At 36.7% G+C, this 19,961-nt stretch overlaps 1 protein-coding gene across 2 annotated transcripts in view; it reads left to right on the top strand.

The window, feature by feature from the left end:
- ADAMTS5 (ADAM metallopeptidase with thrombospondin type 1 motif 5) overlaps positions 1-15,470 on the top strand; it is a 49,167-nt gene extending 33,697 nt beyond the window's left edge. For both annotated transcript variants that reach the window (XM_047440680.1, NM_007038.5), the window contains 4 exons: positions 348-531; positions 1,213-1,388; positions 3,331-3,506; positions 8,772-15,470. In XM_047440680.1, coding sequence (XP_047296636.1) covers positions 348-531; positions 1,213-1,388; positions 3,331-3,506; positions 8,772-9,339 — 1,104 coding nt within the window. In that variant the 3' untranslated portion in view covers positions 9,340-15,470. The remainder of the gene's footprint in view (positions 1-347; positions 532-1,212; positions 1,389-3,330; positions 3,507-8,771) is intronic.
- Positions 15,471-19,961: the final 4,491 nt, after the last annotated feature.

Here is a 19,961-nt window from a genome sequence, read left to right as displayed (position 1 = left end):
AAAAGTTACCATGGTTCAGTGATATTAACAGAGATGGACCATATTAGAAGACATAATTTACAATGGTCCGTAGAAACCAAAAGGTGATAATCTTTGTGGTGTGCTCAGTACTTAGGATGATGCTTTCAGATCTTCTAGTGCTGGAGTTGGGAGGGTGGAAAAGATGAATTGCTTAGCACTGGAAATGTGTTGCATTTCCAAAGCATGATCATGTTAAATTCAGTGAAAATATAACTGTATCTGTGACAAAGTTTCCACTTTGTCATTAAATGCAGGTGATTTCCAAATGCACACTTTCAATGTTTTTCTCTCATTGGAGTTAAAATATATTCTATTCTCTATTTCAGACGTCAAGCCATGGCAACTGGGGATCTTGGGGATCCTGGGGCCAGTGTTCTCGCTCATGTGGAGGAGGAGTGCAGTTTGCCTATCGTCACTGTAATAACCCTGCTCCCAGAAACAACGGACGCTACTGCACAGGGAAGAGGGCCATCTACCGCTCCTGCAGTCTCATGCCCTGCCCACCCAATGGTACGCTGCTCCCAAGTGTCAGCAACCATCATATGCTACATGTCATTTGTATTCTAGCAATAATGAATAAGGGAAGCTGGGGAAATAATATTAATCTTATACTGCACAGTTCCACCAATATGCAGATCAATAACAAACACCTATGTGTTTGTTTTTTTTTGAGATGGAGTCTCACACTGTTGTCCAGGCTGGAGTGCAATGGCACAATCTTGGCTCACTGCAATCTCCACCTCCTGGGTTCACATGATTCTCCTGCCTCAGCTTCCTGAGTAGCCGGGATTACAGGTGCACACCACCACACTTGGCTATTTTTTCTTTATTTTTTATTTTTAGTAGAGACGGGGTTTCACTATGTTGGCCAGACTGGTCTCACACTCCTGACCTTGTGATCCACCCTCCTCGGCCCCCTAAAGTGCTGGGATTACAGGCATGAGGCACCACGCCCAGCCACATATGTGATTTTTAAGTTTTATTATAAGCAATATTCAGAGAATTGGAATAAATAATCACCATTTTGAACTCTATGTATAGATAAAATCCATCAGCATTGGTGAGTAAAGAGACTGTGGGATAAAAAAAACACGTTTGCATCTTCCCCTTAAAATTAACTATTTAAACCCACAAGAATATATCTAAGTTTCAGAACTGATAAGGTAATACTGAAACATGTTTGTTTTCTAGGTAAATCATTTCGTCATGAACAGTGTGAGGCCAAAAATGGCTATCAGTCTGATGCAAAAGGAGTCAAAACTTTTGTGGAATGGGTTCCCAAATATGCAGGTGTCCTGCCAGCGGATGTGTGCAAGCTGACCTGCAGAGCCAAGGGCACTGGCTACTATGTGGTATTTTCTCCAAAGGTAACTACACACCAACTGTCCAGAAGCAGTAGGCGTACTGGTGGAAATTATTTGGTAGAATGAAGCCTGCGGACGCCAGACGTAAACAGTTATTAGTTTGGGGTCAGTTAGATTTTGGAAGGTTTTTATTTTCATCTCTATAACTTCTATATTTTCAAACTTTACACAATGAATAAAAATTATTTTATAAACAGAACAAGTAAATGTTTTAAAAGCTATATTTAAAAGGTGTAACTCACTGTAAAAGGTGTAACTCACTGTCAAGGAAGGCAAAGTGTGACCTTAACTTTAAAGTAACCATGAAAACAACTAGTATTTCCTAAGCAGCATTGTAAAGGAGACCATAAAGCAAGAAAACTTTTTCTATTTTTCTATGATTTACTTAAGAATTCCTTTGATGAGCCGTGGAGATGGGTTTCAAGATCATATACCTCTGACTCAGGCTTTTGAATAAGTCAAGAACCCTTAATATGAATCAATGTCCCTCTAGTTATATATGTTATAATCCTTGTGTATGTGTATAATATTTGTGTATGGAACATGCCTTATTTTTCACAAGTGAGCATTTTCTAAATCTATAGCAGAGTTTTATTCTTATGGTCAGTGTTATACAGCAATTTACAAATTTGTAAACAGTTGCTACATTTAAAATCACCTATGGCTGGGCGCAGTGGCTCACACCCGTAATCCCAGCACTTTGGGAAGCTGAGGCGGGCAGATCACAAGGTCAGGAGATCAAGACCATCCTGACCAACATGGTGAAACCCTGTCTCTACTAAAAATACAAAAATTAGCTGGGCGTGGTGGCACACACCTGTAATCCCAGCTACTCGGGAGGCTGAGGCAGGAGAATCATTTGAACTCGGGAGGCAGAGATTGCAGTGAGCCGAGATCACGCCACTGCACTCCAGTCTGGTGACAGAGCGAGACTCTGTCTCAAAAAAAAAATTACCTCTGAAACTTGGCCTTCAGATATTTATAATATGTTATTGAAAAACAAGCTAATGTCAATTTATGAAATTTTTTAAAGCTCATGTTTTTATTAGAAAATAATGCATTTTCATTCAAAAATATTACACAGAAGTAAAAACATAAAAATCACCTGAAAATACCACCATCTACAGAGCTATTAACCTGATAAAGTATATTCTACTTCAACTCACACACACACGCATTCACAACATACTCATACACATGCATAAAAAGAGTTTTCTATATACATAAATATAAAATTTACAGGCTTATTTATATATATGAGTGTATATATATTACATATACTCACATGCACAAGCCACAATCTATATACACACTGTTTTATAACTAGCTTTTAAACTATACACTAATCCGTTTATTCAAAATATATTCAGTCTCTTCCAGTAAGTCCGTTCATCTAACTTCCCCAGACTCCTTTTTCTGCACTAATTTGGTTGTGTCGATTTCAGTGTCTGACAGTTCAACACACAATAGGGAATGCTCTCCAACCATGACACAGTTTTGAATGTCAAGTTTAGATTTTCAAATTTGTCATTATAATAACAACTATGCAACAAAGAAGGATCTTTGCATTCTCAAGCCTGCTCATATTCAGTTCTGCACACAAATGATAGTCTGAAACACTAAGTGAAAAGATTACTTCTAGTGAGAATGTATTATGCATACAAAAACGAAGATGAGTACCTTGTGTCTCTTAACACATTCAGAGGTAAGGTTAAGAGAGAAAATGTGTAACCTAGGCTTATCCAAAATCTGCTTTCTGGCAATATGACAAGGATTTTTCAGTTAGCTACTTCTGGAAACTATGTTTTTTTGGCTTTTTTTTTTTTCAATGGACTGTCCATACCAATCAAACTCAAAAAATCACAAATGAGAACTTACTAGTTGACCAAAGGAGCAAATACTGATGCAAACATTTCCCACTCCTAATGCATTTGCCATGATTCAGGTGACCGATGGCACTGAATGTAGGCTGTACAGTAATTCCGTCTGCGTCCGGGGGAAGTGTGTGAGAACTGGCTGTGACGGCATCATTGGCTCAAAGCTGCAGTATGACAAGTGCGGAGTATGTGGAGGAGACAACTCCAGCTGTACAAAGATTGTTGGAACCTTTAATAAGAAAAGGTAATATGATAGAACCTTTGTCTTTATGTGAATTGAACAAAGCTTTAGACTCTTGCAGAATTGATAAAGGAGGATTCATATTACATCATAAGCTATCTGTATGAGGAGGTCTAACGTGGCTCTAGAAACACATTTTAAATATGAGAAGGAAGAGACAGGAGATGAATAAAACTCTGGTTGCTCAGGGAAAACTCATGCTGCCTCTGGAAGCAGATAAACTGCAGTAGCCATGGGAATCAATAGCTTGTAGAGTCAGAAAACTGAAAAGAAAAAGTGGGGGACATTCCACTTTAGTGATATCTTGCAGATCTAGTGTTATTCCTAAAACATAATTTAGGGAAGGTTGGTTGGTTTTGATCTTAACTATATTTTTAAAAACAAATTATCCTTACACTGTGTTTTCCTTAAGAAAATATTTCCCCTTGCAAAATGTAAGTTCATTGCAATGGTGTGGGCAACAGTGAAGTATCCTGGTTTATATCTACTCTCTAAAGAAATATATACAGCAGTGTCTCTCTCCTGCTTCCTCTTATGGTCCTAGATTTTTGCTTTAAATATTCAAGTTTATGAAGTACCAATTTCCGGCATAAAATATGCTATCAGGTAGGATGACTGAGTTGACTAGAGTCTGGTAAAATACAGGCTTGCTTTTCTTCCCAAACCACTCTTAGGCTGAGTGTTATTAGTCAAATGTATCTGTATTCTTGATGTACGTGCTGTGTTGTCTGTAACTTGAGAGTAATATGCAAACGAAATTAACAATAGGATTTATTAAAATAATTAAACATGTTAATGTAAAAAACTATAAATTTTCTCTGATGTGATTTGAAAATATATGGCTGAAAAATTTATTCTGAGTTAAAATATGCGTTACTAATTCTATTTGCTAATGAAATAATTATTCACCTAATTGTGTTAGACCATCTATGTCAAAAACCCTGCATGCCCAATTATATCCTGCATTTTTATATGTTTCAAAGGTATAAAACACCTTGGAGATGATCAGTCCAACCTTCTGTTTTAAAAATGAGTTGGACTCTGAAAATATAGGAGTTAGCCAATTATCCATGGCTGATGAATGCCAGAGAAGAGCAGACACCATAACTGAAATCCTAGAATACACAGGTCACTTTGAAAAAAAAAAGAAGAAAGAGAGATAGAAGAAAGAGAGAAAGAAAGAAAGAGAGAGAGAGAAAGAAAGAAAAAGAAAGAAAGAAAGAGAAAGAAAGACAAAGGAAAGAGAAAGAAAGAGGAAGGAAGGAAGGAAGGAAAGAAAAAGGAAAGGAGGGAGAGAGGGAATTCAGGAATCAAATTAGAAACAAAACTACTTTTAAAAAGTAATACCTTATACACTTTATGGTACATATTCTCTTCTATATAAAGTTATAAACCAGTTTTAAAATTGCTAAATTTAGCATTTTAAGTATTTTTGTGCTGACAACTAATATCTGCACATTTTTTCACATGAAAAAGAAGAAATTCATTATAGCAACAAGTGGTATGCAATGTAACCACCTGAAAATTGGTTTGACCAAGATTCTACTATGGTACAAATGACATGTTTGAGTAGTTCAAATTAATTACCTAGGGAGGCCATAGTAATTTATATGATTTATGAAAAAGAACATTGATCTCATACTGCAATATTTGTAATCAAGCTTTGGCTCAATGATTCCTTAGACATGTGATCTTTGAATTGTCACCTAATTTCTTTACCAGGAGATTTCTCAAAAGTAAAGTGGAAATACTGGTAATTATTATCATATGGTTAATAAAACTGTTGTGAAGGTGAAATGAGGTAATACATATTAAAATATTTCATCAATTTTAAGCCCATTCACAATATGACCCTAATCTTAACTCGCTCCTCCCTCAGTTTTCCTCATCTCAGTAAATGGCAACTCAGTCTTTCTACTATTGAGGCCAAAACTTTGGAGGCATGGTTCACGTCTCATTTTCTCTCACACCCCACATCCATCCATCAGCAGATCCTGTCAGTTCTATTTCCACCACATCTCCAGAATCTGGGTGCCCCTCACCACCGTGACCGCTCCCACCGCAATCCAAGTGTTCATCAGATCTTGCCTGGACTAACACTGCAGTCTTCTCGCTGACCTCTGGATCCTTTGCTCCTCAATCTCATCTTACCAAGCAAGGGAAGCCATGGCTATTACCTAAACCAGATCATTGCATTCCTTTGATCAGTAGCCTCCAATGGCTTCCATCTTACTTAGACTCAATACCCAAGACTGTTTTGTAATCTCTAAGGTGCTAAAAGATCTGGCCCCTTCCCTCCTCTATGTCTTTTCTACACTGTCCCTTTCTCATGCTCTGCTCTGACCAGAATGCACTTTCTCGCACTTCAAAAACATGACACCAGGTATGAGAATGCTGTTTCCTCTGCCTGGAACACTTTCTGCTATTAATGAGCAGTACACTTTCCAGAATCTCTTTAGGTCTCTGTCAAATATCACCTCCCCAGATGGTGGCTACCGTAAATGTACAAGAGGACATCTCCTCCACTCCCACCACTACTGTGCAACTTCTTACCTTACTCCGTTTCTTCACAGCTCTTATCAATTGATATCACCACATATTTTGTTTGCTGGGAGCGGACTAAAACATCCCTTCCCTGAGAGCATGCTTGAATATAAATGAATATATTTTTTCATGACAGACATTGTCCTTGGCACTGTGCAGATAGCCCTGAACAAAACAAGATTCCTTTGCCCTGCCAGCCATACTTTGTAAGAGTTGTATGAAAATTGCATTCACTTATGGTAGTCGGGAAAGCTGGTTAGTGTCTGGAGTTTAAATGATACCAAGCAGGATGTAAAGAAAAGGAATCAGGAATATCAAGAGAATCATCTCTTACTAAGGCACTAAAAAATCAGGGCACTAATACTCAGGTTTACTAGTGCTTGTGAAACTCAGTTTGAAGACCTGCAGCAATACTGACCATCATACTAATTCTCATCAAGATGAGATAAGCTCTAAGGAACAAGGGTAAACACCCAAAAAAGCTTCCCTTACCCTTTATTCTTTATTTTACTTACTCCTTACTGGGCATCATTTAAACTCTGCACATAACCAGAATTTAATTTCATTTAACTGCTATAACATATGGCTGGCAGGGGTCAGGATTTTATGCCTGGGGATATAGTGAAAAAGAGCGCTAATTGGGAGTCAAGAGCCTGGCTTTTTTTTTTTTTTTTTTTAAGACAGGGTCTCACTCTGTTGCCCAGGCTGGAATAACACCATCTTGGCTCACTGCAACCTCTGCCTCCCAGGTTCAAGCGATTCTCCTGCCTCAGCCTCCAGCATAGCTGGGATTAGAGGCACGGGCCAGCATGCCCAGCTACTTTTTGTATTTTTAGTACAGACAGGGTTTCCCTATGTTTGCCAGGCTGGTCAGGAACTCCTGTCCTCAGGTGATCCCCTTGCCTCAGTCTCCCAAAGTGCTGGGATTACAGGTGTGAGCCACGGCATCCAGCCAAGCCTGGCTTTTAAGCCTAACACTGCCACTAATCAGCTCTAAAGTGAACTTGTTCAAATACTGTCATATATCCCCATTTCATACTCTTTTTGTGTAAGATGTTATATTTATCTCCAACTACCTTCTGTTTAGACAGGATCTCATTCTGTTACTCGGGCTGGAGTGCAGTGGTGCACTCACTGCAGCCAAGACCTGGGCTAAAGCGATCCTCCCACTTCAGCCTTGCCAGTAGCTAGGACCATAGGCATGCGCCACCATCCCTGGCTAACTCTTTTACTTTTTGTAGAGACAAGGCCTCCCCTGTATTTCCCAGGCTGCTCTTAAACTCCTGACCTCGAGGAATTCTCCAACATCCCTTTTGACTTTCTTTGAAGCCACTATAGTTTCATGGATTATTTATTAATATTAGGTACTACAAAACACATCTGTAACAAAATCTGATCTGTAATGTATTACAAAAATAAAAATAATGAATCGAGTTAGACAGAATAAGGAACGCCCTGAGCATTGCATCATCTCTCTTCAACACTGTAGGAAGCTTTACCACCTGTGTGGCTGTCACTGTAGAACAGATTGCCCTGCAGACAGGGGACTTCCTTGGCGATAAGCTTCCTTTCCAATTCAGAGGAAACTCTGGAGTAAGGGAAACACACTTGGATTTTTAGCATGTGAATGAGAACTGGAAATGAGACAGTTCAGCTCCACACGTCAGTCAAACTGCTCAAGCCAATAGTATTCCTGTTTAAATAACTAGGAAAGTGAAGGGACCCTATTATGAAATTACTTAAAAAGGCAAAAATGTGGACAAAAGTTGACTCGTCATTTCACCCTTGGTGCTTAATTAGCATTTCCATCCTAGCATTCCTCACAGGTTTATGGGTATTAAAGATATTTGTGTCTTTCCCCATTTTTTTGTCCAGATGATGGCTCTTTGAAGACTTATATGTCACTCACCATAAAGCCTTTCTCAATCTATCGTATCTTATGGGCACTAAGAATTCAGAAAAATTCTCTAAGTCATTTAAAAAAATTCCCCTTTTATGATGGTATTAGTAATATCATTACCCAATTTCAGAATTGCATGCTTCATTTATGGCCTGTCCCACCAAATCCAGAATTCTAGTAGAAAGGAATGCAGAGACTCTACTCACCTCTAGTCCAAAAACTAATTAATTCTGTGTTCCCAAGTTAGTCTGCACATTGGAACAATGTGAGAAGTTTCAAAAGTGCTCTTGACTGTGCCCGACCCTGGAAGATGGGGATTTAATTGGTCTGAGGTGTGGGTAGGCTCTGAAAGATTTAAAAGATCCCCACGTGATTCTAATGTGGAAGCAATCTGAGAAATATTAAAGAATTATGTGAGATTAAGTGAAGGCATATTTTTGTCAGTTTGTGTTTAAACAGATCCCATTTTGTGCCAGAAAGAATGGAAAGTAGATTTGTAAAGATGATAGGATCTGATAAGGATGAAAATGGTTGTATAAATCTTGAAAGTTAGTATAAATGTTTTAAATGAAGGCAGGTTGCTAGCATCATCCTAATTTTGAACACCTCAATTAAAGTGTATACAATACTGTAGTATAATTGCAATTTTCTCATAAAAAATAATTTTTAAACCCAATTTTAAACTAATCCATTAAAACTGTGTGTTAAGAGAAGACTTTTTAGAGAACTTCTGTTTGTGTATTTATTTGTTAAGTGTTTACTCATTTTTTTCTCCCTTTTTTTAACCACCTTCCCCCACTTCCTGTGAACATTCCTACTTCCAGTAAGGGTTACACTGACGTGGTGAGGATTCCTGAAGGGGCAACCCACATAAAAGTTCGACAGTTCAAAGCCAAAGACCAGACTAGATTCACTGCCTATTTAGCCCTGAAAAAGAAAAACGGTGAGTACCTTATCAATGGAAAGTACATGATCTCCACTTCAGAGACTATCATTGACATCAATGGAACAGTCATGAACTATAGCGGTTGGAGCCACAGGGATGACTTCCTGCATGGCATGGGCTACTCTGCCACGAAGGAAATTCTAATAGTGCAGATTCTTGCAACAGACCCCACTAAACCATTAGATGTCCGTTATAGCTTTTTTGTTCCCAAGAAGTCCACTCCAAAAGTAAACTCTGTCACTAGTCATGGCAGCAATAAAGTGGGATCACACACTTCGCAGCCGCAGTGGGTCACGGGCCCATGGCTCGCCTGCTCTAGGACCTGTGACACAGGTTGGCACACCAGAACGGTGCAGTGCCAGGATGGAAACCGGAAGTTAGCAAAAGGATGTCCTCTCTCCCAAAGGCCTTCTGCGTTTAAGCAATGCTTGTTGAAGAAATGTTAGCCTGTGGTTATGATCTTATGCACAAAGATAACTGGAGGATTCAGCACTGATGCAGTCGTGGTGAACAGGAGGTCTACCTAACGCACAGAAAGTCATGCTTCAGTGACATTGTCAACAGGAGTCCAATTATGGGCAGAATCTGCTCTCTGTGACCAAAAGAGGATGTGCACTGCTTCACGTGACAGTGGTGACCTTGCAATATAGAAAAACTTGGGAGTTATTGAACATCCCCTGGGCTTACAAGAAACACTGATGAATGTAAAATCAGGGGACATTTGAAGATGGCAGAACTGTCTCCCCCTTGTCACCTACCTCTGATAGAATGTCTTTAATGGTATCATAATCATTTTCACCCATAATACACAGTAGCTTCTTCTTACTGTTTGTAAATACATTCTCCCTTGGTATGTCACTTTATATCCCCTGGTTCTATTAAAATATCCATATATATTTCTATAAAAAAAGTGTTTGACCAAAGTAGGTCTGCAGCTATTTCAACTTCCTTCCGTTTCCAGAAAGAGCTGTGGATATTTTACTGGAAATTAAGAACTTGCTGCTGTTTTAATAAGATGTAGTATATTTTCTGACTACAGGAGATAAAATTTCAGTCAAAAAACCATTTTGACAGCAAGTATCTTCTGAGAAATTTTGAAAAGTAAATAGATCTCAGTGTATCTAGTCACTTAAATACATACACGGGTTCATTTACTTAAACCTTTGACTGCCTGTATTTTTTTCAGGTAGCTAGCCAAATTAATGCATAATTTCAGATGTAGAAGTAGGGTTTGCGTGTGTGTGTGTGATCATACTCAAGAGTCTAAAAACTAGTTTCCTTGTGTTGGAAATTTAAAAGGAAAAAAATCGTATTTCACTGTGTTTTCAATTTATATTTTCACAACTACTTTCTCTCTCCAGAGCTTTCATCTGATATCTCACAATGTATGATATACGTACAAAACACACAGCAAGTTTTCTATCATGTCCAACACATTCAACACTGGTATACCTCCTACCAGCAAGCCTTTAAAATGCATTTGTGTTTGCTTATTTGTTTTGTTCAAGGGTTCAGTAAGACCTACAATGTTTTGTATTTCTTGACTTATTTTATTAGAAACATTAAAGATCACTTGGTAGTTAGCCACATTGAGAAGTGGTTATCATTGTTAATGTGGTTAATGCCAAAAAGTGGTTAATATTAATAAGACTGTTTCCACACCATAGGCAATAATTTCTTAATTTAAAAAATCTAAGTATATTCCTATTGTACTAAATATTTTTCCCAACTGGAAAGCACTTGATTGTACCCGTAAGTGTTTGAGTGATGACATGTGATGATTTTCAGAAAGTTGTTGTTTTTGTTTCCATAGCCTGTTTAAGTAGGTTGTAAGTTTGAATAGTTAGACATGGAAATTATTTTATAAGCACACACCTAAAGATATCTTTTTAGATGATAAAATGTACACCCCCCCATCACCAACCTCACAACTTAGAAAATCTAAGTTGTTTGATTTCTTTGGGATTTCTTTTGTTGTGAAACACTGCAAAGCCAATTTTTCTTTATAAAAATTCATAGTAATCCTGCCAAATGTGCCTATTGTTAAAGATTTGCATGTGAAGATCTTAGGGAACCACTGTTTGAGTTCTACAAGCTCATGAGAGTTTATTTTTATTATAAGATGTTTTTAATATAAAAGAATTATGTAACTGATCACTATATTACATCATTTCAGTGGGCCAGGAAAATAGATGTCTTGCTGTTTTCAGTATTTTCTTAAGAAATTGCTTTTAAAACAAATAATTGTTTTACAAAACCAATAATTATCCTTTGAATTTTCATAGACTGACTTTGCTTTTGACGTAGAAATTTTTTTTCTCAATAAATTATCACTTTGAGAAATGAGGCCTGTACAAGGCTGATAACCTATATGTGATGGAGATCACCCAATGCCAAGGGCAGAAAGCAAACCTAGTTAAATAGGTGAGAAAAAAAATAATAATCCCAGTGCCATTTGTCTGTGCAAAGAGAATTAGGAGAGAGGTTAATGTTACTTTTTTCCATTTTGGAAATAATTTTAATCAAGTAACTCAAATGTGACAAAATTTATTTTTATTTTTTGTGGTTATATTCCCAACAACATTAAAAAATACTCGAGGCATAAATGTAGTTGTCTCCTACTCTGCTTCTCTTACTATACTCATACATTTTTAATATGGTTTATCAATGATTCATGTTTCCCTCAAATAGTGATGGTTTACACCTGTCATGGAAACAATCCTAGAGAGCTCAGAGCAATTAAACCACTATTCCATGCTTTTAAGTAGTTTTCTCCACCTTTTTCTTATGAGTCTCACTAGATTGACTGAGGAATGTATGTCTAAATTCCTGGAGAAGATGATATGGATTGGAAACTGAAATTCAGAGAAATGGAGTGTTCAATAGATACCACGAATTGTGAACAAAGGGAAAATTCTATACAACTCAATCTAAGTCAGTCCACTTTGACTTCGTACTGTCTTTCACCTTTCCATTGTTGCATCTTGAATTTTTTAAAATGTCTAGAATTCAGGATGCTAGGGGCTACTTCTTTAAAAAAAAAAAAAAAAAAGAATTCGTCTGAAAATGCTCAGGTTTGTAAGAATCTAATCTCACTTACATAACTAAGCACTCCATAATAAGTTTTATTAAGTACAAAGGGAGCCAGAAAAAATGACATTTATTTCTTCTAGATCAGAAAAATTTAAATTAAGCCCTGCCTTGCTGTTTAGAAATATGTGGGCATTGTTATAATTTATTCAATAAATTTATGTTCCTTTGCCTTCCTGTGGAAACAGTTTTATCCCACTAAACTAGGAATTAGGGGATAAATCACAAACAAAAAAAAAGTTGCAGCACTGAAAAAAAGTAATTTATTGTTTTTGCAACTGGTATGTGAATTTGTGTGATAAAATTATTTATTCTTATTTAACAAAAATATGTTCAAATTTTTCTATATTTAAAATGTTTTGCTGTTGTCCTACTTTTTAATTTATGCTTCATGTTTGTGTATAAAGTACACTTTTACACTTTGTGAGTTTACATAATATACAGCACTGGTTGCTTTTGTATTTTTTTACAGAAAGCTTTCTGTGTGAAGCAGGTGTATATGTATATATTCCTCATGTATTCTTATTCTGATACTATCATTTTTCTTTCCAAGGAAATTTTAATCTGTCATGACCAATAGTGTTCATTACTTGTGCCTATGATAATAGGTTTTTTACATCACATTAACACTATTTTTTCCAAGTCACAAATAAGAAAAACACTTATTCAATGAAACAAGGTGCAAGTTTTAAATTTGGGTACACAAATAGCCTAGAAGCTTCCTACAGACGCTAAGACACAGCCAATAATCAGATCCTTTCACTTCATCGAGAAACTTGGACAAGTCGATATTGATGTATTAGATGAAAGTTGTCTACACACAACTTCTGAGGGATACAAACGATAATAAAACCAAATGTTGTCTGTTTCTCCTTTAGAAACACCTCCTAAAATTAATATCATTTAGTCTCTAGTGTCTGTAGGATTCTACAGATGAGCACAAATAGATTGGGTTTGTATAACAAATGCTAATAGTCATAACTGTTTCTACAAATATGGGGTGTCCATTAAGAGAATGTGATGTTTTCCTACTGCTGTTGAATCCCATGGGGTGATTATAGGACTTGAAATAGGCAGAGTCACCTCTGATGACATCAGCTTGCCTCTGTGATTTCACAGTCTGATCCTGGCAACAAGACAAAGCACCCTTGGACACACAGCCAATCTCTGGTTGTGATATTTCCCCATTGATTCCTTCCTTGTTAACAAGGTCATTTTAATGGTTCAGGTGAGGACAGCAGCCAGATTCAAAGTCCAGAATTTGTGCTGTTACATAGAGTTCACACTGTCAAATAACATTGAATTTAATAATGATCAAATTTTTCTAGTAGTCTTTGGCAGAGTGTATAATCTCATTGGCATGATTGGTGAATATTACTAATCTCTTTATAATGAAAGATGCTTTACAAATACCTTATATTTGCTAACATTTCAAAACTACTAAATAAATGAAATAGCCATGTGTACAGAAATGGTCATTTAAAGCTTTAATAGAACCAAATTCAAGACAATGTATCATTTAGACACACAGAAAAGGAACTTGTATGTTTTCCCTATTATTTTTCTCATTTGCCAACAATCTATAGTTTTAGGTTATCAAACAGATAGATCAACTTAACTGGCTAGTACATTGAAAAATCTTCCTAAGAATCCTTTGTTAGCATAATCTATAGAGATAATTTCTCAAATTATATCATCATGATGCATATAAACTCTATAATGTATAATTGTGTTTCATTTATTTAATGTATGAGAACATATTGAAATACAAAACCATGCATTAGCCAAAAAATTGGAATACAGGTAGTGTTCAGATCAGCAAAACATTCAGTCTGGTAAATGCCTGCCTGGGGCTATGATATCATTCTCAATGCAGGTTTTATGGAAAAACTAAAAGAATATGTTGTTAGATGATGTTGGTTTTGAAAAAAAAAAGACATTAACATACACATTAGTTAGCCCAGTTAATTGCATTCTACTAATATAGTTGCACATTAGCAATAATTTTGCTGTCTCTGGTCTTTATTTTGTGGCTTCAACTAACTGGACCATGTGGACTGTAAAGGTCAAATGGAAAAAACGAGCAGTGGCCCCTCATCCTGTAAGGTACTGCTACATCAGAGTGACCTAAAAGTCTAACACTGTGAGGAAAACTGTGATTTGTAGGAAAAAAAAAAAAAACAAATAAAAAACAGGGCATGCTTTTTAATTTTTTTCCACTTTCCTTTGGCACACCCAATGAACAATTCTAATTTTTATTGAGGTGCTAACATCTTTCGTGACCGACTGTCAAATGTGGTATTTTTGAGTTACTATTTTTCTACATGATTTTACAGTTTGCAAGAAAGACCTCTAAGCTTTGTGTCACGGTAGGGCACAACTTGATACTCAAAATTTGAAAAATAAGCACATCCAATGATTGTTTTGACCAACAGTGGTCAGTGACGTAAACTGCATGTGCATCTGAGGACATTTAAGGGGTCATTAAAATTTGAGGAGCATCAGGCCGGAGTAGCAGACTTTTAGATGAGTCATATTTCAGCATTCACTAAGTCCTCAGCATTCCATTCAAACTGTCGTGTATATTTGGCCTGATTTTTTTTCAAGCTTTGCAATAATTTATGTTATTGGTAAACACTTGGTGACTATATCTCAGCCTTTTCTTTAACAACTCACAATATATTAGAAACACGTCTACCTATACTGAGAGTATATTTACAATAGAAGAACATACTGTATGTGACTTTGTAAAGCTAGACTTTTGATTAAGAAATATATAATCTCTGGATGCTATTTTTGCATTATACACTCAGGCACAACGTAAACCTTGATGGCTCATCTTGCTACAATTACGAGTTGAAAAACACTACTTACGTATTTGTATGACCTATTAGTCAGAGGAAATCATACATATGCTTTGTAAATAGACTTTGCAGATAACTAAATAGACTGAAGAAATATGTTGCATTTGATAGAAGCAATTGCATAAATATTTGGTTTCTATATTAGAGTCTGTGAGTAAAGTCAAGTAATAAACCTAAGTAGGTATAACAGATTTTTAAACCTTGAAACTTGCTTTGATGGTAGAGAAAATCATTGAAGATTTACATACTGTATATAAGATGTAAAATGTACGCTGCTTATTACCCTCAATTTTCCAGAAGCAATGGTATATAATGCAGTTGAAAAACCAAAAATCTTGGAAAACTAAGACGGGTCTTGTTTAAAATGTCTCTCAGCTTTGGCAACCTTCAAATCTTAATCAACTATTTAAAGCATTACTGTGTCTTGTAGCCTGCATTCCACAACAGCTCTGTTATTCAGGTAAAAGACTTGAACTGAGCCGTTTGGGACCTATACTGTAATATTTTCATTGAGGAACAATATCCTATTTTGTAAAGCATTTCCCTATGTGTGACTTTAAACTGTAAAATTAAACACTGCTTTTGTGGGTTCAGTGGGCATAATAAATATAAATTGTAAACTAGGTTAAAGTATGTACTGCATATAATATGTTTTAGAGTTGGAAACTATTGTTCATTTATTTTTAATTTTCTCTTAACAGTGGTAGCACCAAGGTGGGTCTCAGGGAAGCCCTAGGCTCTTTATAATCTCTATCATTGCTCACCCTCTTTGGCATAGACAATTAATACTTTATCTTAGTTAAAGTTCTATGAAACTATTGCTTCAAGTTTTTACCAGACTACCAACCCTTGAAGATTGCATACTATTAAAATTCTGGTGTTAAATTAGAAACAGCAAGCAACATAATCTACTGCTTCATTTTTAATTTTTATGTCTAAACTTAGTCCAGATACAAAGTTAAAGAGTTGAGATAATAATGCAAGCATAGAAATTAAAAAAAAAAAAACAACCTGAAATTGACTAGCAAAAGTCTATTTTATAACATTTATAACATTAAGCTTCCTAGGAGCATTAATTCTTTTTAAACCTGGAATCATTACTTTTTAGCGTACATTTCAAATGCTGAATTTCCCTATCAAACAGTATTGTAGAATGGCGGTACTTTAAATTTTCTCCTTAGGAGGATGTATGCTTTTAAAGAAATGATTTAAAACATCTATATTTTTAAAAAGATGGTATAATATATACATACACACTAGCTATCAAAATATAGCTAAGATTTGTTCAACATCTCATTGAGTTAGGCCCTGTGGTAATCACCCCACAAACTTTCTACCACAAATTTCTCTCCATGCCCTTTGGCTCTTGTGATACTGGTATTAAGATTCCATGTTACAGATAACAGTCACAATATGATAGCCATTAATTATTAGCTATTAGGTTGGTGCAAAAGTGAATCTGAGCGAGAGATTGCAGGGTGGTTGAAGGATTGACTGGGAGATTAGAGAAATGGAGGGAAGTGTTTACGCCTAATGTGTAGGCCCCCTGAGTAAAAGCAAGAACATTCCTAAAATTCCAATGAAAATGTTAAGGAAACTATGAAGAATTAGGCAAGCAGTAAGGATAGAGCCAGGAGCTGAAGGTAGCACAGAAGATTGTTGTTTAAGGAAAGAGGAGAGATAATTTGATGTAGAAAACTAAGAAATTGCTGGTAAGAGTTTTTCAAAAAAGAGTTTGGTATTTTACCTTACAAACTCCTTCACAGCTGGAAATGAGTTGGGTCAGACAAGGTCAAAGGCATAAAAGTGGTAATGGGGATAGCTTTTGGATTAGGAGTAGAATGAACAAAGGGGATGCTTAGAAATGGAACTCTAGATGTTTGTGAAGTCCAAATCATCTCTATTTCTCAGATTCTGTTGGGTCTTTTCTGATATATTATTGAGTGTTTTATCTGTTCAATTAAATTCTGTTAAATTAAATTCCCACAAAATAAATGATTATATGTCATTATGTAGATACAGGTGAGGGAGTATAGTAGAATAGCCCTGCTTTTTCTAGTTCCTATCCATGTCTGTCACATAAGGAGACACGATGCCAGAATGATTAACCATCTGGGGCAGTACCTAGCCCAAGACCTCACTCCAATGTACATTCATAAGATTTTCTGTAATATAGATTTCTCCTTCTACTTCTAGCTACCTCCAATGCTTTGTCTCCCTACTAAGCCTCCTTTGGGATTTGCTTTCAATTGGAATTATGGGCTTTTTATTGTTGTTATTTACTATAAGAAGCATCTAAATCTTGGAAAGCATGGGAAAATATTTCTTAATCACTTATAAGTAGACTGCTTCCAAAAATAGTGGCTGAGCCAGTTTTAGATTTTAAAAAGAGTATTTTATCTACAAAACTTTGAGAAGCATTAACCTCTTCATCTTCCAAATATGTCTGCTACCTACTAGACATTGTAAAGATTCCACCTAGATTGTTTCTTTACTGTCAAGCTCCTTTACCATCCCTCTGTTCAAAGATGTTGCTTTGAACACTCAAAGGAAGTGCCTGACTATGACCAGCTATAAGAGTGTCAGACAGAATATTAGTATATGAGAACAAGCAATAGATGTCTCTTTTTTTAAGATTATGTTAAGACCAGCCAGTTCATAGCTCCTACACTGCTACCACTTGAGTAGAATCCTTTAATCTTTTCTATCCTGAACAACAGCAAATGCCTCTTTATGGGACTTCTTGCTGCCTTCAGCAGCTAGACTAATAATGAAAAGCTTTAAGTGAGATCATTTAAATCCTCTGCCAAATATTCTCCAACACCTTACTAACTCACTGAAAGTAGGAAACAATCTTCTTTCCACAGGCTTCAAGGCCGCACAGGATCTGATACCACCGACCTGTCTGATTTTCCCTCCTTTTCTTACCCCTTGGTTCACTCCCCAGCTACTTTGCCTCTCTGCTACTCTTTACGGCATCAAGTTTAAACCTTTTCCAGAATCTTTTGCCTAAAACGCTCTTCTCCAGATATACACTGGCTTCCTGGCTTCCTTCAAGTCTGTACTTAAATGTTATCCCTCAGAGAGTCCATTCCTGACCACCCTAAATTAAATAGACACATTTCTCCTTCATTTTTGTTCATGTCACTTGTAAATTCCTGAAATTTCACCATATCCTCGTTTGTATAAGTCTGTTATCCCTATCATATAACCAGATGTAGAAATGTACATACTTTGAGACCATACTCTTTATTTTGTATCATTGCTGTATTACCAGCTCCTAAGAAGGTACCTGGCATTCAATAAGTACTTGTTGAATAAATGACTGAATCAATAAATTGATGGCAACCCAGTCAAATAATAATTATTAAAGGGTTCAGGAAATGGTTGATGATGTCTCTGCAAAATGGCAAAATGTGGGTATATAAATATTTTTAACAAGTAATGCTGTTTAAAAAAAAAATTTTAGAAAAAAATCAAGCCAAGTTTAGGCCCAAGAAGTAGAGGAGCCATGGTAGATGGGTAGTAGCAAGAACCTGGTTACTTGATTCAAAGACAGATCTTCAGTTCCTGGTATGACACCAAAGTGGAAGACAGGATTCTAAAGATGTGCCCCCATAGTTCCTGTCTCTTGGTCATTCAATCAAACACAAATTGAGGTACTGCTGTGAAAATACTGTGGATATGGAATTAATGTTTATAACCAACAAACCTTAAAATAGGAAGATTAGTCTGGATTAATTTGAGAGCCCAGTTTAATCACATGAACTCTTAAAAGCAGAAGAGAAAGGCAGAAGGGGAAGTTAGAGGAACTCCAAGCATGAGAAGGAGTCCATGCTCCACTGCTGGCTAGGAAGATGAAGAAAGGGATCAAAAGGATTCAGGCAGTGTCTAGAAAGCTGAGAATGACACCTGGCCAATGGGACAGCCAGCAGGGAAATGAGAACCTCAGTTCTACAACTTCAAAACAAATGAATTCTAGCTAAAACATGAAGGAGTTTGTTGGAATCGGATTCATCCTTAGATCTTCTAGAAAGGAATGCAGCACTGCTGATACCTTGGTTCCAGCCTTGTAAACCCAGAGCAGAGGCCCAGCTGAGCTCTGCTGAGCTTAGATATCTATGAACTGTGATATTATAAATAGGTTTGGTAAAGATGCTGAATGATTGGCATTTGTTATGGTAGTAATAGAAAATGAATGTACACACGAAAACAAGGAATAATCTCAATCTAGAGTGGATTATTAGAAAGGCTACCATGTTAGGCCTATAAGCAGAATGAACAAGATTACAATCCAGTTATTGGGGTTGATGCAGGATTTTTTTCTGCTCCTTAGCTCAGCTAGGTACGGGTTCTTGTCTCATGACCAGGAAGAATTAGGCACACAGACACCAGAGAGTGAGTGGAGTAGAATGTATTAAATGAAAGGAAAGCTCTCAGCAAAGAGAAAGAAGGGCGGGGGGTGCTTCCCCTACCTAAAAGCAGGAAAGTCCCCCAATATGAGTGAGCCTGGAGCTTTTATGGACTCAAAATGGGGAGTGCATGCTGATTGGTTTGTGAGTATGCAAAAAAGTTTGAAGCAAAAACACCACTCAAAGGTGGGCACGACAGTGTAGAAAAACAATTAGGAAAGGGTAGGTATATGTAAAATAGGCTAAGGGTGGTGATCAGTCAGAGGAAAGCATGCCAAGCGGGAAGACAAGTTCTTAATCCGGTGTGAAAATTTAAATTGTAGCTTGGCTTTCAGGCTTTAAACTGTCTTTGGATGGGACCTGCCCCATCAGCCTAGGCATTTGGTAGCCTCCTGTCACTATCACGGTTACAGGACAAGGTGGAAACAAGAAAAACTCAAACTCAGAGTTACCAGATCAGGCACAAAATCTTGGAACAAGACCATCGCTAATCTAATTTTGCTATCAAGTCACTTGAGCTGTTAACAAGGGCTGCATATATACACACTGACTCCAGGACAGGATTGGTTAAAAATGTGATGTAGAGTAGCAATCTGTAGTCACAGTGATAAAAACAAGCAAACACAAGGCAGAAAACAGGGGCAGGAAATTGATGGATATGGAGATTTATTGCCTGGAAAAATGTTTTCCAAATGCAGCTAA

This window comes from Homo sapiens, chromosome 21 (assembly GCF_000001405.40).
Source record: "Homo sapiens chromosome 21, GRCh38.p14 Primary Assembly".
Lineage (NCBI taxonomy): Eukaryota > Metazoa > Chordata > Mammalia > Primates > Hominidae > Homo > Homo sapiens.
Note: the sequence above shows the minus strand (reverse complement) of the source record. Positions and strands in the feature narration are given on the sequence as shown.